At 39.4% G+C, this 21,010-nt stretch overlaps 1 protein-coding gene across 7 annotated transcripts in view; it reads left to right on the top strand.

Annotated features, from left to right (window-relative positions):
- ZMAT4 (zinc finger matrin-type 4) overlaps nucleotides 1-21,010 on the top strand; it is a 367,237-nt gene that overhangs the window by 181,019 nt on the left and 165,208 nt on the right. For all 7 annotated transcript variants that reach the window (NM_001135731.2, NM_024645.3, XM_017013836.3 and 4 more), the window contains one exon: nucleotides 19,407-19,563. In NM_001135731.2, coding sequence (NP_001129203.1) covers nucleotides 19,407-19,563 — 157 coding nt within the window. The remainder of the gene's footprint in view (nucleotides 1-19,406; nucleotides 19,564-21,010) is intronic.

Here is a 21,010-nt window from a genome sequence, read left to right as displayed (position 1 = left end):
GACTTGCTTTTAGAAACCTCCGTGGAGCACAGAGTAGTAATGAAGATCTCCTGCTAGAGGGCGAGACATTTGGACCCTAATCAAACTGACTCTCTCTTATTTATTTTTATTTATTTTTGAGACAGTCTCGTTCTGTCGCCCAGGCTGGTGTGCAGTGGCACGATCTCAGTTCACCACAACCTCCACCTCCCAGGTTCAAGCGATTCTCCTGCCTCAGCCTCCCAAGTAGCTGGAATTACAGGCATGCACCACCACACCCAGCTAATTTTTGTATTTTTAGTAGAGATGGGGTTTCGCCATCTTGGCCAGGCTGATCTCATACTCCTGACCTCAGGTGATCTGCCTGCCTCGGCCTCCCAAATTGCTGGGATTACAGGCATGAGCCACTGTGCCTGGCCCAAACTGACTCTCTCTTAAGTAAAGGGAGGAAGGGTCCAAGGAAACACCTCCTGTAGTGGATTTGTGGCATTCTTTAGCATGGGGCTGACTCTCTCCGAGGGCTTGATCCCCTCCCCATATTTCTGATGCAGCAGGTCTGGCGAGGGGCCCTGGGCATTTGCATGTCCAGCAAGCTCTCAGGTGACACTGATGCTGCAAATCCGGGTACCACATTTTGAGAATCCAGACTTTCTTTTCTGCGTATCATGAATACAGTTGAGATTTGAAATCTTTTCCCCTATAAAGCCCTCCATTAAAGTTATATCTTTTCTTTAGGTCTGATCCTTTTCTTTTCCTCTGTGCTGAGTGATAAAGATAGCAGTGGAAATTGGAGGACAAGTGTCTGTCTCTGATTGGCTTCTCTACAGAACTGAGGACCTGAGGTAGCACTTGGGGTGATAAAGTTATAAAACCACAGGCGCTTATAGGCTTGGGCAGAAAACATTCGTGTTGATGCCTTAGCAGTTTTTCTCCATGACTTGGAGGGCCTGGCTGTTGTCAGGGTTGCAGGTTGTTTGGAAGTCCACATGGCATGTAAATGGACCCACAGGGGAACCTGCTGAACGAAGGGACCCAGATTAGTGAGGTGGGCCACGCTGGTGGCAGTGCCAACTAGAGACATCTCTGTAGATCTGCCCCATGCATGTCTGGGCTTCCTTCCAAAGAGCGAAAGGAGATCTTATCTCGTAAAGCACACACTCTCTCTCCCCTTTCATCTGTTAACCCTATAAAATTGTGGGATGAGGGGTTTACTTACTCTAAATAATTATTTTTCAAAATTTGATTTCTTTTTTAAAAGTAAAAAAGTATCACCTACTGTGGAATGTTTAGACAATTCATAAAGGACAAAGAAAAAAATAATTTTGCATAATCAGATGTATATATATATCACCTTTTTAATATTTAGAGGCTTGCCTTTCAGGTTTTGTTTCTACTCTTGCTCTTTCACACATGTGCAAATCTTTCTGGGTACTATGTAGATCATGGCTGTTGTTGCCTCTTTATGGCTTTGCCTCTCACTCTGGGTACCAGCTATGTCTTTATAATCAGCTATAAGGCTCTGTTTGGTAGTTATCATTTCCCCATCACTGCCTGAGCTCATCGCCTCTTACTCCCTCTCCTCTCGTTTGGCTGGTTTCCTTTGCTAATCTGTGCACATGCTGCTCACCTCATGCTCAAGGCCTCTCTACTCACTGTTCCTTCTACTTCGAATGCTGTTCCCCAGTTCCTCACTTCTTTCTGGCCTTTATTCAAAAGTCCCTTCCATAGCGAGGTCTTCTTGGACCCCTTTAACATTTCACACACTTTTTTTTTTTTTTTTTGAGACAGAGTCTCCCTCTGTCGCCAGGCTGGAGTGCAGTGGAGCGATCTCGGCTCACTGCAACCTCCGACTCCTGAGTTCAAGCCATTCTCCTCCCTCAGCCTCCCAAGTAGCTGGGATTGCAGGTGCGTGCCACCACGCCTGGCTAATTTTTGTATTTTTAGTAGAGATGGGATTTCACCATGTTGGCCAGGATGGTCTCAATATCCTGACCTCATGATCCGCCAGCCTTGGCCTCCCAAAGTGCTGGGATTACAGGCGTGAGCCACTGCCCCCGGACTATTTCACACACTTCTTCCTGTAAACTTATTTCATTTCTTTCCTCCTTAGAAAGCATGACTAACTAACATAATATGTATTCTACATTTTACTTACTTGTCAACTATGGTCAGCTTCTCCAGCTAGAATATAAACTCCATGACAAAAGGCATCAATGGATTGCATTCTGCACTGTCCCCAGGACAGTGCCTGGTGGAGGGTTGACACCCCATAAAAAGCTGCTTTAAGATGTCAAATGAATGAGCTCAACAATACATCATAAATTATATTCCATATTCCATGGCATATTTTTCTATATCATGATTTTTAATAGCTGTTTCCAATAATAGCTTTTTCCTAATGTATCAATATATGACTATACCACAGTTAATTAAACATGAATTTAATAATGAATACACAACAGTTTGTTCAAATATTATCCTCTATTAACTTCAGTATTGTAAGTTTCTGCTTATTTTGCTGTTATAATCGGCACCTTAGCAATCAACCTTGTATGTATTTGCTCAAATCCTGATAATTTTCCTAGAATAAATTTCCAGAAATTAACTTTCTGGGTCAAGAAGAGTGTACCTTTAAGGTGTTTGATCCACATTCTCAAATCACTATCCAAAAGACTGTTTCTCTAAGCAGAGATTTCTAATGCTGATTTCTTTGCACCTTTGACAATAAGACATTATTTTTCAAAAATATTCCAATTTTTATGAGTAAAAAATGGTAACTCATTAAATAATTTTATGTTCCTTAGGTCACTGGTAAAATTGATCTTTTTTATATTTTTTAAAATTGGATATGTATATTTCTTTTCTTTTCTTTTTTTCTTTTTCTTTTTCTTTTTTTTTTTTTTTTTTGGTTTTGTTTTTGAGATGGAGTCTCCCTTTTGTTGCCCAGGCTGGAGTGCAGTGGTGGGATCTTGGCTCACTGCAACCTCCACCTCCTGGGTTCAAGTGATTCTCCTGCCTCAGCCTCTCAAGTAGCTGGGATTACAGGGACCTGCCACCACACCAGGCTAATTTTTGTGTTTTTAGTAGACGCCGGGTTTCACCATGTTGGTCAGGCTGGTCTCGAACTCCTGACTGCAAGTGATCTACCTGCCTCCGCCTCCCAAAGTGCTGGGATTAGGGACAAGAGCCACTGCGCCTGGCCTGGATATGTATATTTCTTTTTATCCATTTTTAGTTTATGTTGTTTGCTTAACTGGTGGGGTGTTAACTAGCTTTCTTTTAACGCTTTGCAAGTGTTCTTTATATAGCTAAGCATTTAAAAATATGTATGGTTAATATTTTTTTGCCATTTGCTTTTAAATACCTTCATGTTGTTTTTTTTTTCTACCATTACCTTACCTTGATCTTGGCTTCGTGTTATTTCTTGATATACAGAACATTTATATGAAATAGGATATGCATATATTTTATGTTTTGAACTGTTTTCAATGTAAGGCTTAAAAAGTTTAACTCATCCTAAGACTGTATGAGTATTTCTATTTATTTCTCCTAGTGACTTTATGGTTTCATTATTTTCCCCAAATTGTTATTCAGTCCTTCAATTCCATTTATTGAATAATGTCCTTTTCCTCCCTGACTTGACATTTCCTTTATTACATACTAATTTGAATGTGTTATTTTGTTGTTTTGGCTCTGACTGTTTTATTAACTTGTGCCTTTCTGTAGCAGAAACCCACTTTAAAAATTATTAGAGTTTTATAATATGTTTTTCACATTTCAGACTACAACCACTTCTCATTTTTGATTTTCAAAATTATCTTAATTATTTAGTATCCGTATTTTTCTTGAAGAAGAAATTCAGAATCATTTTGTTCCAACCTCCAGTGTTCAAACTTGCATCAGTTTTGCAAATACATATGGGAAGACATTATTGCTGTTGGCTAATTCAATTAGCAAATTCTTTAGTCCCTTTCTTTAGTGCCATTATGAGATGTGATTTGATATGCACTGCTTCTGGGGCAATGCCCAATTTCTGGAAGTTCTTCAGCTAGCAAAGCTCTGTTCCTCCAGGTGCCATCTTTTCCTGCTCCTTGCTACCTGGTTTCCCAACATTAGGAGACAGGGCCTTCTGTGAAAACCATGATTTCAGGATATGGCGCTATTGGAGCTTCCCTGTCTGCCCATGTAGCCTGTCTGTTTGTGGGTAAGGTGGGGAGCTGCATTCACCAGCATGCAATGTACTAACTGCCTTCCCCACCCTGACTGCTAAGTAGGCATGGATGTCACAGAATGGATGTAGAAAGATGGCGAAACAATGTGTGTTTTATTTATTGATGTGATAGCATGTGCTAAAGAAAGAATGGAAACAACAGAAGCCCATGGTACAGGATAACAGGTCAGCGATTTTGTTAGTACAAATCTGAGTCTGGGGGACACAGTGGAGATATCCTCCATGTCTTATCTTTGTTTCAGAGGTTTCTCTTTTATGGGACACAACTCTGGGTTGGTTGGTTTTTAATAAAAACAGTAGCTTATTCTTAAATATAGTTTTTGCTCTCTAGGTTAGGCACCATTCTAAGTACTTTCCACATACAAACTCATTTAATTCTCAAGACTGCCTTATGAGAGAAATCCTATTATGATTTGAGTTTTATGGCTTATCTCAATTGAACTCCTTATGCCTTACAGCAGGTAGAAATTCACTTTAGATTCTGGCATCAGGTGGTCTATCAAATTAATTTTTAGTGTGTGCTTCATCCTTTTCTATCTTCGTCAATATTTAAAAGTTATAGTTAGGGAGACATCTAGGGCTGCTAACCAGGTACATTTTAAACTGGAATTCATCTTTTATAAACCTTTTATTAGAAAATAAAACCCACATACAAAATTTAGAAAACAGATGTATCCCTTAATGAGTCCTAAAGTAAACACTATTATAACCACTACCCAGGTTGTGAAATAGATCTTTGCCAATCATTCCAGAAGCTTTTCCCATTGTCTCCTACCAAGGTTGACTCTCTCTTTTCCACAGAAGTAACCACTATCCTGACTTTTCCAGAATCACTTTCTTGAGTTTTTGTAAAATTTTATCACTAATGTACCCCTCTAATGAGCATAGTTTAATCTTGCCCAATTTTTAAAATCTTGACATACTTTTTACATCTATTTTAGTCTGCAGGTTTCTTTTTCATCTTTTATTCTTTACCATTTACCTATAAAAGAACCTGGGGGCATTTGACCTAAAGAGTTTTCTAAAGTATAGGTTTTGCTGATTGTGTACTTGTGATCCCCATTCAACACTTTCCTCTGTCCTTTCCGTCCTCTGAAAATTGGCAGATGGTTTCAGAGACTTGATTGGATTTGGGGTTGATACATTTGGCAAGACTATAAATGGTGTTGAGTTCTTTCATTAAGAGGCAGATGATATCTGATTGTCTCTCTTTTTGTGATGTTAGCAGCTGTTGATGCCCAATGCCTAGATCCATTAATTCATTGGAGGTTGCAAAGCTGTTTTCTTCTATTTTTTTCATTGATTAATTGGAATAATTTTATAACAAGTGATTTTCCTCATTTATTGTTTGATACTCTGTGCTTTTAGGAAAAGCAGAAAAAAATACTTCATTCTTTTCTTTTATCAGTGTCTAATTAAAGAACTGGTTCCCTATCATTCTACAAAGGTGAACAAACAGGTTTTTAGGAAATATTACTATGAATTCATGTATTTGGAGCTATTTGAAAAATCTTGGCCGCACACGGTGGCTCATGCCTGTAATCCCAGTACTTTGGGAGGCCAAACTGGGTGGATCACGAGGTCAAGAGATCGAGACCATCCTAGCCAACATGGTGAAACCCCGTCTCTACTAAAAATACAAAAAAAAATTTATCTGGGTGTGGTGGCACGTGCCTGTAGTCCCAGCTACTCAGGAGGCTGAGGCAGGAGAATCGCTTGAACCCGGGAGGTGGAGGTTGCAGTGAGCCGAGATCGCGCCACTGCACTCCAGCCTGGAGGCAGAGTGAGACTGTGTCTCAAAAAAAAAAGAAAAGTCTTGATCTTTTTAAAGATCCAATTGTCTCATTTGCTTCAAGGTTGCCTTTGAGTCCTTGTGTCATGACTGTAGTAGTCATTCCTAGCTTTCTTGTTGTCTAGCATGGCAAGATATTCCAGGATCATGTGGCACACTTCTTAGAATTAGTCTTTTTTTTTTTCCCCCCACAAAAGGCTGGGTTTCTTTTTGTGGCAATGGCACTTCAAGATTGCTAGGGTTTTTGAGTGCTAGGGAAATTTTGTAGAGTTTGTCATTGTTTTTAAGCCCTCTTCACTGGTTAGAATTAAGAAACATATATGTTTATATGATATCTCAAGGGTTTATACTAACACTTCCAATTCAAATCACAATTACAGGGTTTGATACTCGCCTGTATGCCATCTGCTCACTCTTTTTCTACACTGAGTATGTTGGTTCACAAAGACGCAGGAAACGATGAATTAGAATATCCCATAATTATTGATATACTTTATCCAATAATATTGTGCATATCCCGTGAATAACAATATTGATGCTACAGCACCAGTATAATTAACTGAGAAATTAAATCTCTTTATTGCAGCACATATTCTCCCCAGTGTCTCCCCATCTTTAAATATGCTGTATCTATGGTATCTGAGTTCACAGCCATTATACACTGTACTTTATCCCCATTGGTTCTATTTATCTTAATTATATCTATTTATATATCTATATGTATATATCTCAGACTACCACCAGTTGTTTCTTTTTTTTTTTTTTTTTGAGACTGGGTCTCAGACTGTTGCCCAGGCTGGAGTGCAATGGCACGATCTCGGCTCACTGCCACCTCCACCTCCGGGGTTCACGAGATTCTCCTGCCTCAGCCTTCCCAGTAGCTGAGATTACAGGCGAGCACCACCACACCCGGCTAATTTTTTTTATTTTTAGTAGAGACAGAGTTTCACTATGTTGGCCAGACTGGTCTCAAACTCCGGACCTCGTGATCTACCAGCCTCAGCCTCCCAGAGTCCTGGGATTACAGGCATGAGCCACCACGCCCGGCTCAACTACCACCAATTCTTATATCAATGTCTCCATAGTCATTTTGGTTATTAAAATCAATCTTACATTCTAGTAGGCACATCAGAGACAGCTCATGAGAACAAGCTTCCCTGAGTTCTGGCCTGTTTTCTCACTGGGTCCTTTATACTTATATGTCAGCTTTGCTGGATATACAAAATTTGTCACACATTATTTTGCAAGTCTAAAATATGTTACATCATTTGTTTTTGAAGTAAAACATTGCAGTTGAAATGTCTGATGATAATCTAATTTTGTTTTCCTTCCATCTTTTTCTTAAAGGCTCAGGTAATTTAAAAATATCTTTCTATACGGTTTAGTAATTTTACTGAAAAATTTTTTTGTGTTGATTGTTTTGGGTTGACATTTAGGGGTATACATGAGGCTCTTTCAATACAGTTGGCCCTCCATATTCATGGGCTCCACATTCATGGATTCAACCAACTGCAGGTCAAAAATATTTGATAAAATGAAATAAAAATAATACAACAATAAAAAAAATACAACAATAAAAATAATACAAATAAAAGATACAGTATAACTATTAGCATAGCATTTATATTCTCTTAGGTACTATAAGTAATGCAGGGATGATTTAAAGTCTACAGGAGGATGCATGTAGGTTATATGCAAACGCTGACATTTTCTTTCAAGGACTTGAGCATTTGCAGACTTTGACAACTGTAGGGGGTCCTGGAACCAATTCCCCATGGATACTGAAGGATGACTGCTTATACTTCCTTTAATTTTAATTGTAGGAGAGTTTTCTCAATTTATAGTTTGTTTTGTTTTGGTTTGTTTGCTGGGATTATGCCTGTAATCCCAGCACTTTGGGAGGCCGAGGTGGGTGGATTACCTGAGGTTGAGGGCTCGAGACTAGCCTGGCCAACATGGTGAAAGCCCATCTCTACTAAAAATACAAAAATTAGCTGTCGCGGTGGTGCGCACCTGTGATTCCGGCTACTCGGGAGGCTGATGCAGAAGAATCACTTGAACCTGGGTGGCGGAGGTTGCAGTGAGCTGAGATTGCGCCACTCACTGCCCTGCAGCATGGGTGACAGAGCAAGACTCACTCTCAAAAAAAAAAAAAAAAATCAAGATTGCTTTCCTAACTTAACAGAGCTTCTTTGAGAGAGAGAGAGAGAGAGAGAGAGAGAGAGAGAGAGAGAAAGAGTGTGTATGTGTGTGTGTGTAGTGTAGCATAGTGTTTAAGAACAGAATGGTTTGTTTACGGAAGTGTATTAGCTCCACTCTCCCCCACATTTGTCTGAACCTTTGCTTTGTCTCCATTGTTTTTGTCCTCAGTTTTAATTCTACTCTCAGCAGTTTCTCCTCAGTATGAAGCTGTGGTCTGAAAAAAGTTCTGGTGGGTTGTACAGAAAATTTGCAGGTCTAGGCTGTGTCTGCCCCTCCAGGCTCTCCACAGACCTCTCTTATAATCTGCTGTGGGGATGGGACATGCGCTCCTGATGCCAGCTGCTGTTCTCACACAGGGCTGCCAGGCTTTCTGTGAATACCTGCTGCTATTGAGGGTTCCTCTGGCTCCAGGTCCAGCAGAGCTCTCATTGCCTCACTCTATTTCCCTGCACAGATGCTGATAGCATGCAGATTTTGTGCTATTACTGGTTTATTTCCATTCACTTATTTTTGAGGTTCATGAGAACAACCATGTCACCTAGTTTTGTAATAAATATTATCTGTGAGTTTTTTATTTGCCTTTCTAGTTCTATTTTTATTTGGGAATTTAGAGAGATTTTAAAAAAACGATACCACTGCTGCCAACATTTTCTGAGAACTCTCATTTTATTTTGTATGTACGTAGTTTTCATCAATCGATAGATATTTATTAAATGGTCTATGGCAGGTCCTATTATAGACACCAAGGATATAGCTATGAACAAAACAGAGTTTCTACCCTCAAGACATATAATAGGAAAAGAATGGTATTGAACATATACACCACTAAATAAGTGAAAAAACATCAAATATAAGTCAATTTCATGAAGTAAATGAAATGAGATAATATGTATCTATTCTTTTAAACCATTTGATTACATGTATATACACACAGACATACATACACATACTTTATATACACACATATACTTATATGTATGTATACACACACATATACATACTCACACACAAAGATATTTGACTTACATACAAATATGTTTGAATAGTATTTTCTGGATTACAAAGTGTGTTTCCATACAATGCATTCTTTTATCTTTTTATGAATAGGCAGATAGGGTAGGTTTTACTCCCCATGTGACAGAGGAGGAATTTCATGTTTAATAATTATAAGTGATATCCAATACACTTACAGCCAAAGCTTCATCAAGTATCTTTTGAATCTGAATCTGCTCTTTTAAACTTAATATTCTATTTTTTAGTACCACATTACATAAAACACTGTGCTGGGGGTTAGAGATGACACCTTTTCAGCCCAAATAATTGAGTTTCAATGAGAGACAATAAGATATATGCTTAGTGCTGTCAGATGGGGGTGGGGGGGTGGGGGGGCAGGCCTGAAGGAAGTTCTGTGGGAGTGAGGAAGCATCAGCTGTCTTTGTGGTGGGATGTCCCGGGGAAGCCTAATGAAGGAGACTGCATCTGAGTGGCCCTTGCATATAGAGAGACGGGGCATTTCTAGTTGGAGTGAACCATGTGAACAAAGACAGGTAGACATATCCTTAACGTAGCTGGAGGAGAGCGAGAGTTGAATCAACTGTTTAGTTTTTCTTCATACACTCATCATTCAATGAGTTTTTAAGTTACTATGTGCCAGGGCAGAGATAGAAAGATAGATAGGGAAGGAGCTTAGTCTAGTGGGGGAGAGGTGTGCTCCCCACCTGATTCGAAAGTGAAACCTTTCAGTGGGACTGAATCTTCACTTACCTGCAGCATCCAACAAAAACAGGCAGCCGGGAGATGAGGAGCAGAGGATTTTAGTGCTGGGATTCTGAGCCATTTTCTTGGCAGGCTGCTTGGTGTTCCTAACCTTGAAAAAAATCAATTTGCTTGGAGCATATTATGTCTGAAAAGCACCCGTGGAGGAAAAGACTAGAAAAGTGTATTGAGTGTTAGATGTTAGCGGAATTTAAATGTCATGATAAGGAATTTATTTTGGGGTAGTAAAGTGTGGTTGAGAGTTTTTGACAAGAAGACTGACCTAAGATGCCAGTGTGTCCATGAATTCGGCCAAAAATTCAAAAATCAGTCCCACCACTTTCTGAAAAGATGACATATTGAAGAATTTATTTAAACCCTCTGAGCTTCATTTTCTTGATCTGTTAAAATTGGGAATTTATTTATGTATTTATCCACTGACACCTCATTTATTCATTCATTTTTAAGTTCAACTGATATTTAATAATTAGTTCTGGCTGGGCGCAGTGGCTCACGCCTGTAATCCCAGCACTTTGGGAGGCTGAGGTGGGTGGATCACGGGGTCAGGAGATTGAGACCATCCTGTCTAACACGGTGAAACCCCGTCTCTACTAAACAAATACAAAAAATTAGTTGGACATGGTGGTACATTTCTGTAGTCCCAGCTACTCAGGAGTCTGAGGCAGGAGAATCGCTTGAATCTGGGAGGCTGAGTTCGCAGTGAGCTGAGATCGCATCACTGTTGCCTGGGTGACAGAGCGAGACTCTGTCTCAAAAGAAAAAACAACCAATAATAAATAAATAAATAAATAAGTAAATACTCAGTTCTGGAGCTACATGGTCTAATGCAGTAGCCACTCACTCAAAAGTGCTATTGAACACTTGAAATGCAGATAGTCTGAATTGAGATGTGCTATCAGTGTGAAATATACACTTGATTTGGAAGTGTTAGTATGAGAAAAAGAATATAAAATACCTCATTAATAATTTTTATGTTGAATACTTCCTGAAAGGAAAGAAGAAATAAGTTTAAGAGAGCTATTGTACAGCATGGTGACTATAGCTAATGATAATAGATTATATTATTGAAAAATGCCAAGACAGTTGGTGTTAAGTGCTCTTGCCACAAAAATTATTGCTATGTGAGGCAATACATATGTTAATTAACTAGATTTAACCATTCCACAATGTATATATGCTTCAAATGCATAGAATTTTATCTGTCAATTAAAAAATAAATTTGAAAAAATGTTTTTTGAAATTAATTTTGTGGTTCATTTTTTCAAAGATATGTCATTTAGAATATTTAAATGTGGCCTCATTTACAGCTTGTACTGTATTTCTATTGGACGATGCTGCTCTAGATACTGAGTGTACAATATTGAATAGTGGTCAGAGACAGATAGTAAATAAGCACATTTAAATATCTAAGTCATCTAATTCTAGACTGTGAAATAAGTGCTGTGATCTTCCCACCTGCCTCTCATCCCACCTTTGCTCTCTCGGGCCCCTCTATTCATTTGCAGCATTTTCTTAGCCACTTCTCTTGGTTAGTGGGGCTTATCTAACTTACATAGTTGTCCTCTCTCAGGAACTCTGGCTAATTTCTCCCTTTTGGGGTCTTGCAACTAATGTGACCATCTGTTTAAATATTTCTTCAATGACTGAAAAAACAAGCTAAAGCCATCCAAATTCCAAAGGCAAACAAAATTCTTCAACTCTCTTCAGTAGAAATCTTCATTCTGTCTTTCCTTTATTGTCAAAAATTACCATTTCCCCCAATACTATGGAAATTGGGAGTTTTCATCCACAGAGTGTGTAGTTTGTATCCAAACAGCAGGGCATATATCTGTCTAGTTCATGCCATCCTTCCTGTAGACACTACAGCTTCCCCATGGGACTCTGAACATCACCCACCTTCTAGCCATAGGACACATCCTTTGTATGTGGACAAACTCACACAATAACATGTCATTGCAGTTATATCCATTTCAGTACAGAGTATGATGCCACTTTATGCCAATTGGCCTTTTCCTAAGACAAAGCAGTCATATTGGTAAGAAAACGAGGGAGATAGTACATTAGGTGGAAAACAGAGTTAAGTGACCAAATTAGAAATGGTTAATGAATGGCCATGTCAAGTCGTTCAACTATTTAGTTCATGTTTATCAAGTCTGTTTTATAAATCCAGACCTGTGTCAGGCACTGGCTATGATGGGAGGATAACTTCTAAAGTTCTTATAAATTTCCTGCCTTTAAGATGTTTTTAGAAAGACAATTCTAAAACAAAAACAAAATGCTAATAAAGCAATTAAAGGGCAGGACCAAATCAAAATGTATGGCAAGGATGTTAAGGACTGGGAGAGGTCAGGAAGGAAGATGTGGATGAAATTTGCAGACGTCTTGAAATAACTCTTGGAGAAAATGGACCTTAATATCTGGATGTGACTTAAACAGGTCAGGAGGAGAGAGAACAGCTTGACCCAAATGGAGTGGAAAGGGATGCATGAGAGAGAACAGTGGGAGATAACGTTACCCAGGACCCTGTAGTCAATCAGGAAATGTGACTTCCAGGCCTTCTGATCCCAGTAAAGTGGGAGAGAAGAGACATCATTTTCTGCATTCTGCTTTTCTCCAAAGTTAAGTACCAGAATATAAGGAGCAACATGCATAACACTGGAAATAGTGGCGTTTATTGGACATTCTATCTTACTACAGGGTATGTGCTGAGAGGTGCAGTTATTTCTGCGTCTAGCAGAAGGTATCAGATGACTGTTGCCTTCAGGTATAGCTTAGTAGCAGCTGCAAGTGGAGTTTCATTATAGCCACAGAATGTCTTGCCAAAATCAACACCAGTGATCAGGATTTTAGAATGTCTAGCCAGTGCTCAAAGAAATTCCATATACTACATGGGAGCCATCATGAACAAAATACTCCTCATTATGATTCGCTTCCTGAAAGAGTTTCACCTACAAGAAGAGGATGCCTGGAAAAGAGAAAAAACAACACCTTAAGCTTCAAATTTCAACATATCTTTGGGCTTTTGAAATCATTTAAATGAATCTTTTAGACTTTTCCTCTAGAACAGAATATTGAGATACAATTCATATGTCACAAAACTCACCTATTTTTAAAGTATAAAATTCAAGGGTTTTAGGTATATTCACAGAGCCGTGTGACTGCCAGATCTACAGTAACCTTGGAAACTCTTTACCCATTAGCAATCACTCCTCATTTCCCCTCCCATCTCCCTCCTCCCTGCTCCCCCACTGCCCTCTGATTCCTAGACAATCACTAATTCACTCTCTGTATTTATAGATTTTCTTATTCTGGAAATATCACATAAACAGAGTCATACATTATGTGGTCTTTTGTGATGGATTGGCTTCTTTTATTTAGCATAATGTTTTCAAGATTCATCCATACAGTAGCCTGTATCAGTTCTTTAATCTTTTGGTTGCAAATACCATGCCATTGTATGGACATACCACATTTTATTTACTCCCTCTGCAGTTGGCAGACATTTGGGCTGTTTCCACTTTGGGCTATTATGAATGATGTGGCTATAAAAACTCATGTAAAAATTTTTATGTGGACATATATTTTTATTTCTCTTGAATGAAATACATTCAGTTCTCATTTTCCACAGTAGCTATGTTCTATAAAGTTGTCATCAACACTGAATTAGCAAATGCTGAGCCACTGCTTCTAAGTAAAATTCAGGATTAGGTCTGGGAGACCTCTGGTCACAATATTTTTGTCAATCCATCCATATGTAACCTTGTTTTGTGTGTGTTTCTGTTTAGAGACACCTTATTGAATATATATATATATAGTAAATTTCTTTGCTTTTTAGCCTCACAACACTGCTATCCACTATGCTTTTTAATCGATTGTTATCTCTGGAATTCACAAATTTAGACAACTGTTTTCCATCGCTCCATTACTCTCTATGCGTGTTTCTTTAGCATTTTCTGGAGTGGTCTCACATACAGACCAGTGAATTTTCTCTCTCTCCTTCTGGATGTAAGTAGTAGTGATTGCTTCACATTGAACTCAAGGCCAGCAGCACTATGACGCATGCCTGAGTGAAGCTTAGCTAACTCGTGTGTTTTCTCCATAAGGAGTTTCACCGAACTCCTCACTCTGCCATTCTGAAAGTGCATGCCTCTCTCTTAGGCTTTCTACCTTCACCTAAAGCAAAAGAGAATGAGGACAATCATCTGAATTAAATTAAAGAAATCTTTATAACAAAAGGGAAAGGTGTTTGGGGATTAAATTTCTAGCCAGTCAGTGAGGTTTTCCATCCTGATTGAATTCTTCTGAAAACTTTTTAACTTTGCAAAATGCTTTGACTGAGCAGCCTTAGGTTACTCCACAAACATTCTTTTTATTTCTTTCAGCAATGTGGACGTTGCATTTAAACAGTCTGACTGAATTTTTGCCTCCAGTTTGAAACTCATATTTTAAAGATAATCTTTAAGCCAGAAACTTTAAATATATTCATTGAGGTCAATTAATCAAACTGTATGGAGTTTCTACCCCGGGCTATATATCAACCTTGCTCTGGATGCAGCAAGATACTCTAATGAAAGTGATGTCCTAATTCTTTTTGTGCTACTGTAACAGAACACCACAGCCTGAGTAATTCATAATGAACATAAATGTATTCAGCTCATGGTTCTAGAAGCTGGGAAGTCCAAGATTGAGGGGTTGGATCTGGTGAGGATTTTCTTGCTGTGTCATAACATGGTGGAGGGCATCACACGGTGACCGAAAGCAAGTGAGGGTTGAACTTGCTTTTACAGCAATCCCACTCTCTTGATAACAAACCCCCTCTCTCCATAACAGCATTAATCCATTCATGGGGGCTCAGCCTTCTTAAAGGTCCCATCTCTCAACACTGTTGCATTGGGGATTAAGTTTCCAACATATTCAAACCATAGCAGATGATATAATCTAGAGTTGCAAAGAGCCATTAATTTGGGATTTTGGTGGCTAAGAATATGCAGTTAAAACTCTGCATAGTGGGCTGGGCAGTGGTGGCTGATGCCTGTAATCCCAGCACTTTGGGAGGCCAAGGTGGACAGATCACTTCAGGTCAGGAGTTCGAGACTAGCTTGGCCAACATGGTGAAACCCCATCTCTACTAAAAATACAAAAAATTAGCCAGGCATAGGGTGTGCACCTGTAATCCCAGCTACTCAGGAGGCTGAGATGGGAGAATCACTGGAACCCAGGAGGTGGAGGTTGCAGTGAGCCGAGATCGTGACACTGCACTCCAGCCTGGGAGGCAGAGTGAGACTCCATCTCAAAAAAAAAAAAAAAAAAAAAAAAAAAAATTCTGCATAGTTGTGTATCCACCAGCGTCATTAGAGCAGTTAGTGTTAGTGGCAGTTAGAATTGCACTATGTGAATAACTGGCCCCTTTTGTAAAGTATCTCACTAAGTGTGTACTGTTGGCATGAAAGGCTGCCTAACTTTTCAGGGCCTCACAGCCCCTCTATTGTCAGGTACCTAAAATTGCCTGGTCCCTCTTTTACAACTATGGCATACCTATATCCCATGATACATTATTGTATAAGAATTGGTTTTCCTCTTCTATTATTTTTAATTTTTCTATATGATAATGAGATTGCTCAGGAGAGCAGAAATCTAGGAATATATATTAAAACTACCATTGTGAAACTAACATATTTCCCTACTGAACCCTCAAGTTGGTTTATAAATTGTTGTCACCTCTGGTTCTTTACCTGGCCATCTTTCTGTCAGTTGGAAAAATGGTGGGTTGCCATAGACCTCCCTGTGTTACCTGCCTCCTCTTTTGACTTTTATGTCATACAAGTTACTAATCCCACAAATGAACCCTCTGCTCCACTCATTCAGTACACACTTGAAGGTCCTCCAGTGTGGTAAATGTGGTGCTAGGTGCTGGCTCCTCACTATCAATGAGACAGTTTCCTAGACCTTAAAGAAGTTTTGCCATCTCATGAGGCAGACAAATATGAAAACAAGTAAGTGCAATAATTCCATGTTCTGTAGAAGAAGAATGTACAAGGCACCCAGGAGACCCAAAGGCTGGTTCTCACTTCTCCCAGACAGTAGAGGGAGCCAGAAGGAGTTTCAGGCTGGTACAGTGGCTCACTCCTACAATCCCAGCACTTTGGGAGGCCAAAGCAAGAGCATTGCTTGAGCCTAGGAGTTCGAGGCCAGCCCGGAAAACAGGTTGTAGACATTCTCTCTCTACAAACAATAAAAAAGTATTATCCAGGTGTAGTGGCATGTGCCTGTGATCCTAGCTACTCTGGAGGTTGAGGTGAAAGGATTGCTTGAACCTAAGGAGTTCCAGGCTATAATGAGCTACGATAGCACCACTGCACTCCAGCCTGAGTGACAGAACAAGACTCTGTAGCCAAAAAAAAAAAAAAAAAAAAAAAGAAAAGCAGCAGCTTCCCCTCAAGGAAGTGATGAGCCAGGAAGACAGATTCTGGTACGACTGAATTAGACACGAAGTGATTCAAAAGGGCATTCCAGCATTTCCTTTAAGAAGGCTTAAAGATGAAAACCCACACAGTCCTGATTTACATTAATGTTTTTTTTTTAATCTTACAATTAGGAGTATGTGAGTCCAATATGAGACTCTAGTTCTTTGATTATAATACTTCCCCTTATTTTCTGTCTACTTCTCCAATTCTCCTGGTGCCAGCCTCCTTGATAACAGGGCATGGAGTCATATTCATCTACCACAGCACCTAACACAATTAGTAGGTCCTTAAAAATGTGTTGGGTAAATACATACCATAAGTCCATTTTTCATTCATTAAGGGCAACTCTTTGTCCTGGAAACTAGTTCTCAGTCATTTTGTATGGTGATGCTGGCCTCTATGTCTGGGCCTCTAGACTTTCTTTAGGCATTTCTACCAGTTAGAGCTTCAGGGAGAAAGGCCAGGCATGGCTGGAGTTTTCACTGGAAGTGGTGGAACAGATGCATAGATTCTAAAGAGAATGCACAGATGAACAGATACACAGATTCTAAGACTGAGAATTAAGCTCTGGCTTATGAACTTGTTCCTAATTTTAAAAAATTACACGCTTTGACCTATGTCATGCGTAAGTAGTTAAAAAAATGGTATAATTCAAACACTCACTTTCACCCTGATAATCTTCCTTTTTAAAAAAGGGTAAGACTTGATTTCATTCTTTTTTATGGCTGAGTAGTATTCCATGGTGTGTGTGTGTGTGTGTGTGTGTGCATTTACATTTTCTTTATCCAATCGTCTATTGATGGACACTTATGTTGATTCAATATATTTGCTATTGTGAATAGTGCTGCAATAAACATAAGAGTGAAGTTATCTTTTTAACACAATGATTTTTTTTTCCTTTGGGTAGATACCCATTAGTGGGATTTCTGGATCACATGATAGTTCTATTTTTAGTTCTTTGTTACGCTAATAGCCCAGACTTCACCGTTCTGCAATATATCTGTGTCACAAAACTGCACTTGTATCCCTCAAATGTACACAAATTTTAAAAAGTGAGACAAATATATATCCTCCAGCATGTAGTAAAGAGGCACCAAGTTTGGTCTCTCATTCCTCTTGCATAATCTACTCCTCATTTAATGGGCTGGAACCCTTCAGGAACTCCCTGATTTGCCTCTTCCTGGTGATCCTGGTATATGCCATCTCCCTGGCTTCCATCCTGTCTCCTAGGCTTGACTGAGGAGGTAGGTAGCTCAGGGGAGCCAGGAAGCCAACCCTGCCCCTTACCTCCAGGTCCATTTCATTTCCATAGTATTCCACACAGAACTAAAAGTATTCGTACTATTTTGTTTTTTTCTCTATGGAGAAAACTGAAAGCACTTTGGCTTTAAACCCTCAGCGAGAGTATTGCCAATGAGCACAGCCTCAGGGCTACTAGATTTCCTAGCAGGAGAGGACCTATTGGGAAAGCCCCTCCTCTCTCCAGTGGTCCCTTCCACTCACTGACAACCTCCATCCCAGCCCCAATGTTTGAAGTCTCTCCCTGAACTTCAGGCAAGCCTCCTGCTCCTGGGACACACACACAACCCCTTCCTTCCAAGGATGAAATGCTAATTATCAGAGATATTACAGACTAATGTCTTAAGGAGGAAGGAATTCATTTCCTAACTACCACATAATTTGCAAGGCAACACTCTCTCTAGCAGTCTGGACATCTTATTACTATGCAGATAAAATATGTAATTCCCTTCCTCCAACCAGTTGCCACCCTCATCCTCCTCACCATCCAATTTTAAATTGTACTGTCTGGGCTCACTAGGAATAAGAGAAGCGGCCATTGTGGGGCCATATACTCATTCCAGCTTGCTCTTTAACAAAGAGATGTTCGGCTATTGCTGCACCATTAAGGAATAGATTAACTTCTTATTTAAAAGTCTGTTCTGCCCTCCATTTCTAACTAAGCAGGAGGGGAAGCAATGGATTACTCCTTCCCTTCATAAGTATAGGTAATTGATGACCTGCGAGCACAATAGCAGGTCACATGGTCTGACCAAGGTTTTATTTTTTTCTGAATTATGATTCATTTTCATTAAGTATTACAAAGGAATAAAAATCCAGCTGGATTTAAGCATTTTGTGCAGCATTTAATGAATCACCTTTCCTGAAAAAAAGGAAAATTACACAAACTCTCCCAGAAAATCCAGCCAGCACAGTCATCATAGCTTTATGATACAGAATCGAGTTAATTATGAAAAACACTCAATTCCTTAAAGAAATCTCTAAAAATCTTGAACATCATGGCCATGTATCCTGGTGAGGCTAAAATTGGTCAAAAGCAGAGCGGAATAACAAATGATAATTTCTGCTAAATAATTCAGGCTATCTGAACTCTGATATTTTACAGACTTTAATGAGTATAATGGGTCCAATTAGAGACTGCTTTCCTTCACCATGCCAGGCTCAATGTGCCCTCTCTTAATTGTGGGCCCCGTTTTTATTTGGATAACTCATCTCTACAAATTTGTCCTGAAATCCCAGTATCTGGCATTAATAGCTACTAACTGTATGTCAAAGTCAGTCACTGAGTAAGTTTTGATGATGATTATCATGAAGAAAAAGAGATTGCACCGGGGCCGGTCAGGGGGTGGGGGGGCTAGGGGAGGGATAGCATTAGGAGAAATACCTAATGTAGATGACAGGTTGGTGGGTGCAGCAAACCACCATGGCACATGTATACCTATGTAACAAACCTGCACTTTCTGCACATGTATCCCAGAACTTAAAGTATAATAAAAAAATTTTTTAAAAAAGAAGAGAGTAGAAAGCAAGGCAAAAAGAGAGAGAGACAGCTTGCAGAACAAAAACTAGATATTTCAATACACTAGTTCGTCTGGGTAAGTCTCATTTGTAAAAGAATGGAATGGGTTTCTCTCACACGTGGCCTTTCTTTCTCCCTGCGCAGGGAAGTGATGCCGACATGGTGGATAAGAACAAGTGCTGCACACTCTGCAACATGTCATTCACTTCAGCGGTGGTGGCCGATTCCCATTATCAAGGCAAAATCCACGCCAAGAGGTTAAAACTCTTGCTAGGAGAGAAGACCCCATTAAAGACCACAGGTACGTGCAGGAACAGTGATCGTGGGGAGACCCTGAAAACCAAGTGCTGGCCTGTCTTGCAGATCATGCTCCTCCTTCAGACGCAGTTGCCAGAACCAGAGCCTAATGGTAGACGTCATTCAAAGCCTAAAGGGATGAGTGGCTGACCTCAGCAGACCTGGCTGTCCTAAGACCCCTAAATACCATTTCAGGTGCTCATTCTATCACCCTAGTTCCTTTCGATGAAGTAATGCAGCAGCTTGCATCTGCTGAAGAGCTGTGTGCATTGTCTATCATTCCTACTGTGTATTATATAAGATGTGATATCTATTCTGTTTTCTAGATTCCGTCTGCAATTAGTGTGGATCATGCATGCTGTGTCATGTGTAATAGAGAGGTCCCCTACCAATGTCTATAATGCAGGACATCATCCTTTTTTTTACCTTGGCAGGGGAGAGTGGGAGGAAAAGAAAGGAAAACTATAATCTTTAAAAGTACTTTAGTGTGCCAAGAACTGATTTATTTATTTTTTTTTCTGAGATGACATTCTCATCATCTTTGCAGGGGATCCTGTGATTCATCTTGCAGGAGATCCTGTGATTCAAGCCTATTAACTTTCACAAGTAAAACCTTAAATATTGATAACCGATGATTTGACCTTCTAATTGCTTAACTAAAATAAATTCTTCAGAGGTCTATCACATCATGAAACTAAAACACTGTTATAATTTAATCAAGATAAACTATTTGGACAAGATTTATGTTGTGGCAGAAATGTGACCAAACAGGTTAGAATCCAGAGAAGTTGGGGGCGTATTTCATGGTGCCTACTCTTTCCATGCGATTAAAATTTAGCAGTACATTTTATCTGCTGTCTAATGAATCATGCATAAACTGTAGGTGTAATTATTTTGTAAATGGCATTTTGCAAACTGGAGAGAGCCTAAAACAATGCTTGGCTTTTATCCTTACCACTGTTTTTCTTAAGAAAAAATGTATTCTTTTACCTAGAGAATCACAAGGAATCATTTTACTGTATTTTTCTATTTAGTTTAACTAAACAACATTGTTTTTGTAAAGGTGGCTGTGACATTCAGGCATAGGATGAGGTTGCAAAACACATGAAATCTGGAGACAAGCTCAGTATGTTTGGGGGCACAGGTTGTGTTTCAGCCTTTGACAAGCAGCCAGTCAATTGAAACTCCTGATTCTTGCTCCCTTAAATGTTGCATATTCACCTTGTAACCTACTCCCCATCAAATCTCTTAAAATAGACACCTCAAAAAAACAGTCACTGGAAAATTTTTACCTGTTTTCCATGAATTAATAACCAGTCCATTTGTTCTCTCTGCTGAAGCAGAATATTACTGTTAAATTAAATTTTGGAGGTAATGATGGAAGAGGAGAAGGTGTGTGTTTGCTTATCACATCAATTAGCAAATGGGAGAGTTATTCTTTCTGCAAAAAA

Source organism: Homo sapiens, chromosome 8 (genome assembly GCF_000001405.40).
Source record: "Homo sapiens chromosome 8, GRCh38.p14 Primary Assembly".
NCBI classification, from domain to species: Eukaryota; Metazoa; Chordata; class Mammalia; order Primates; family Hominidae; genus Homo; species Homo sapiens.
The sequence above is the reverse complement of the archived record's forward strand: the minus strand, read 5'-3'. Positions and strand labels throughout refer to the sequence as shown.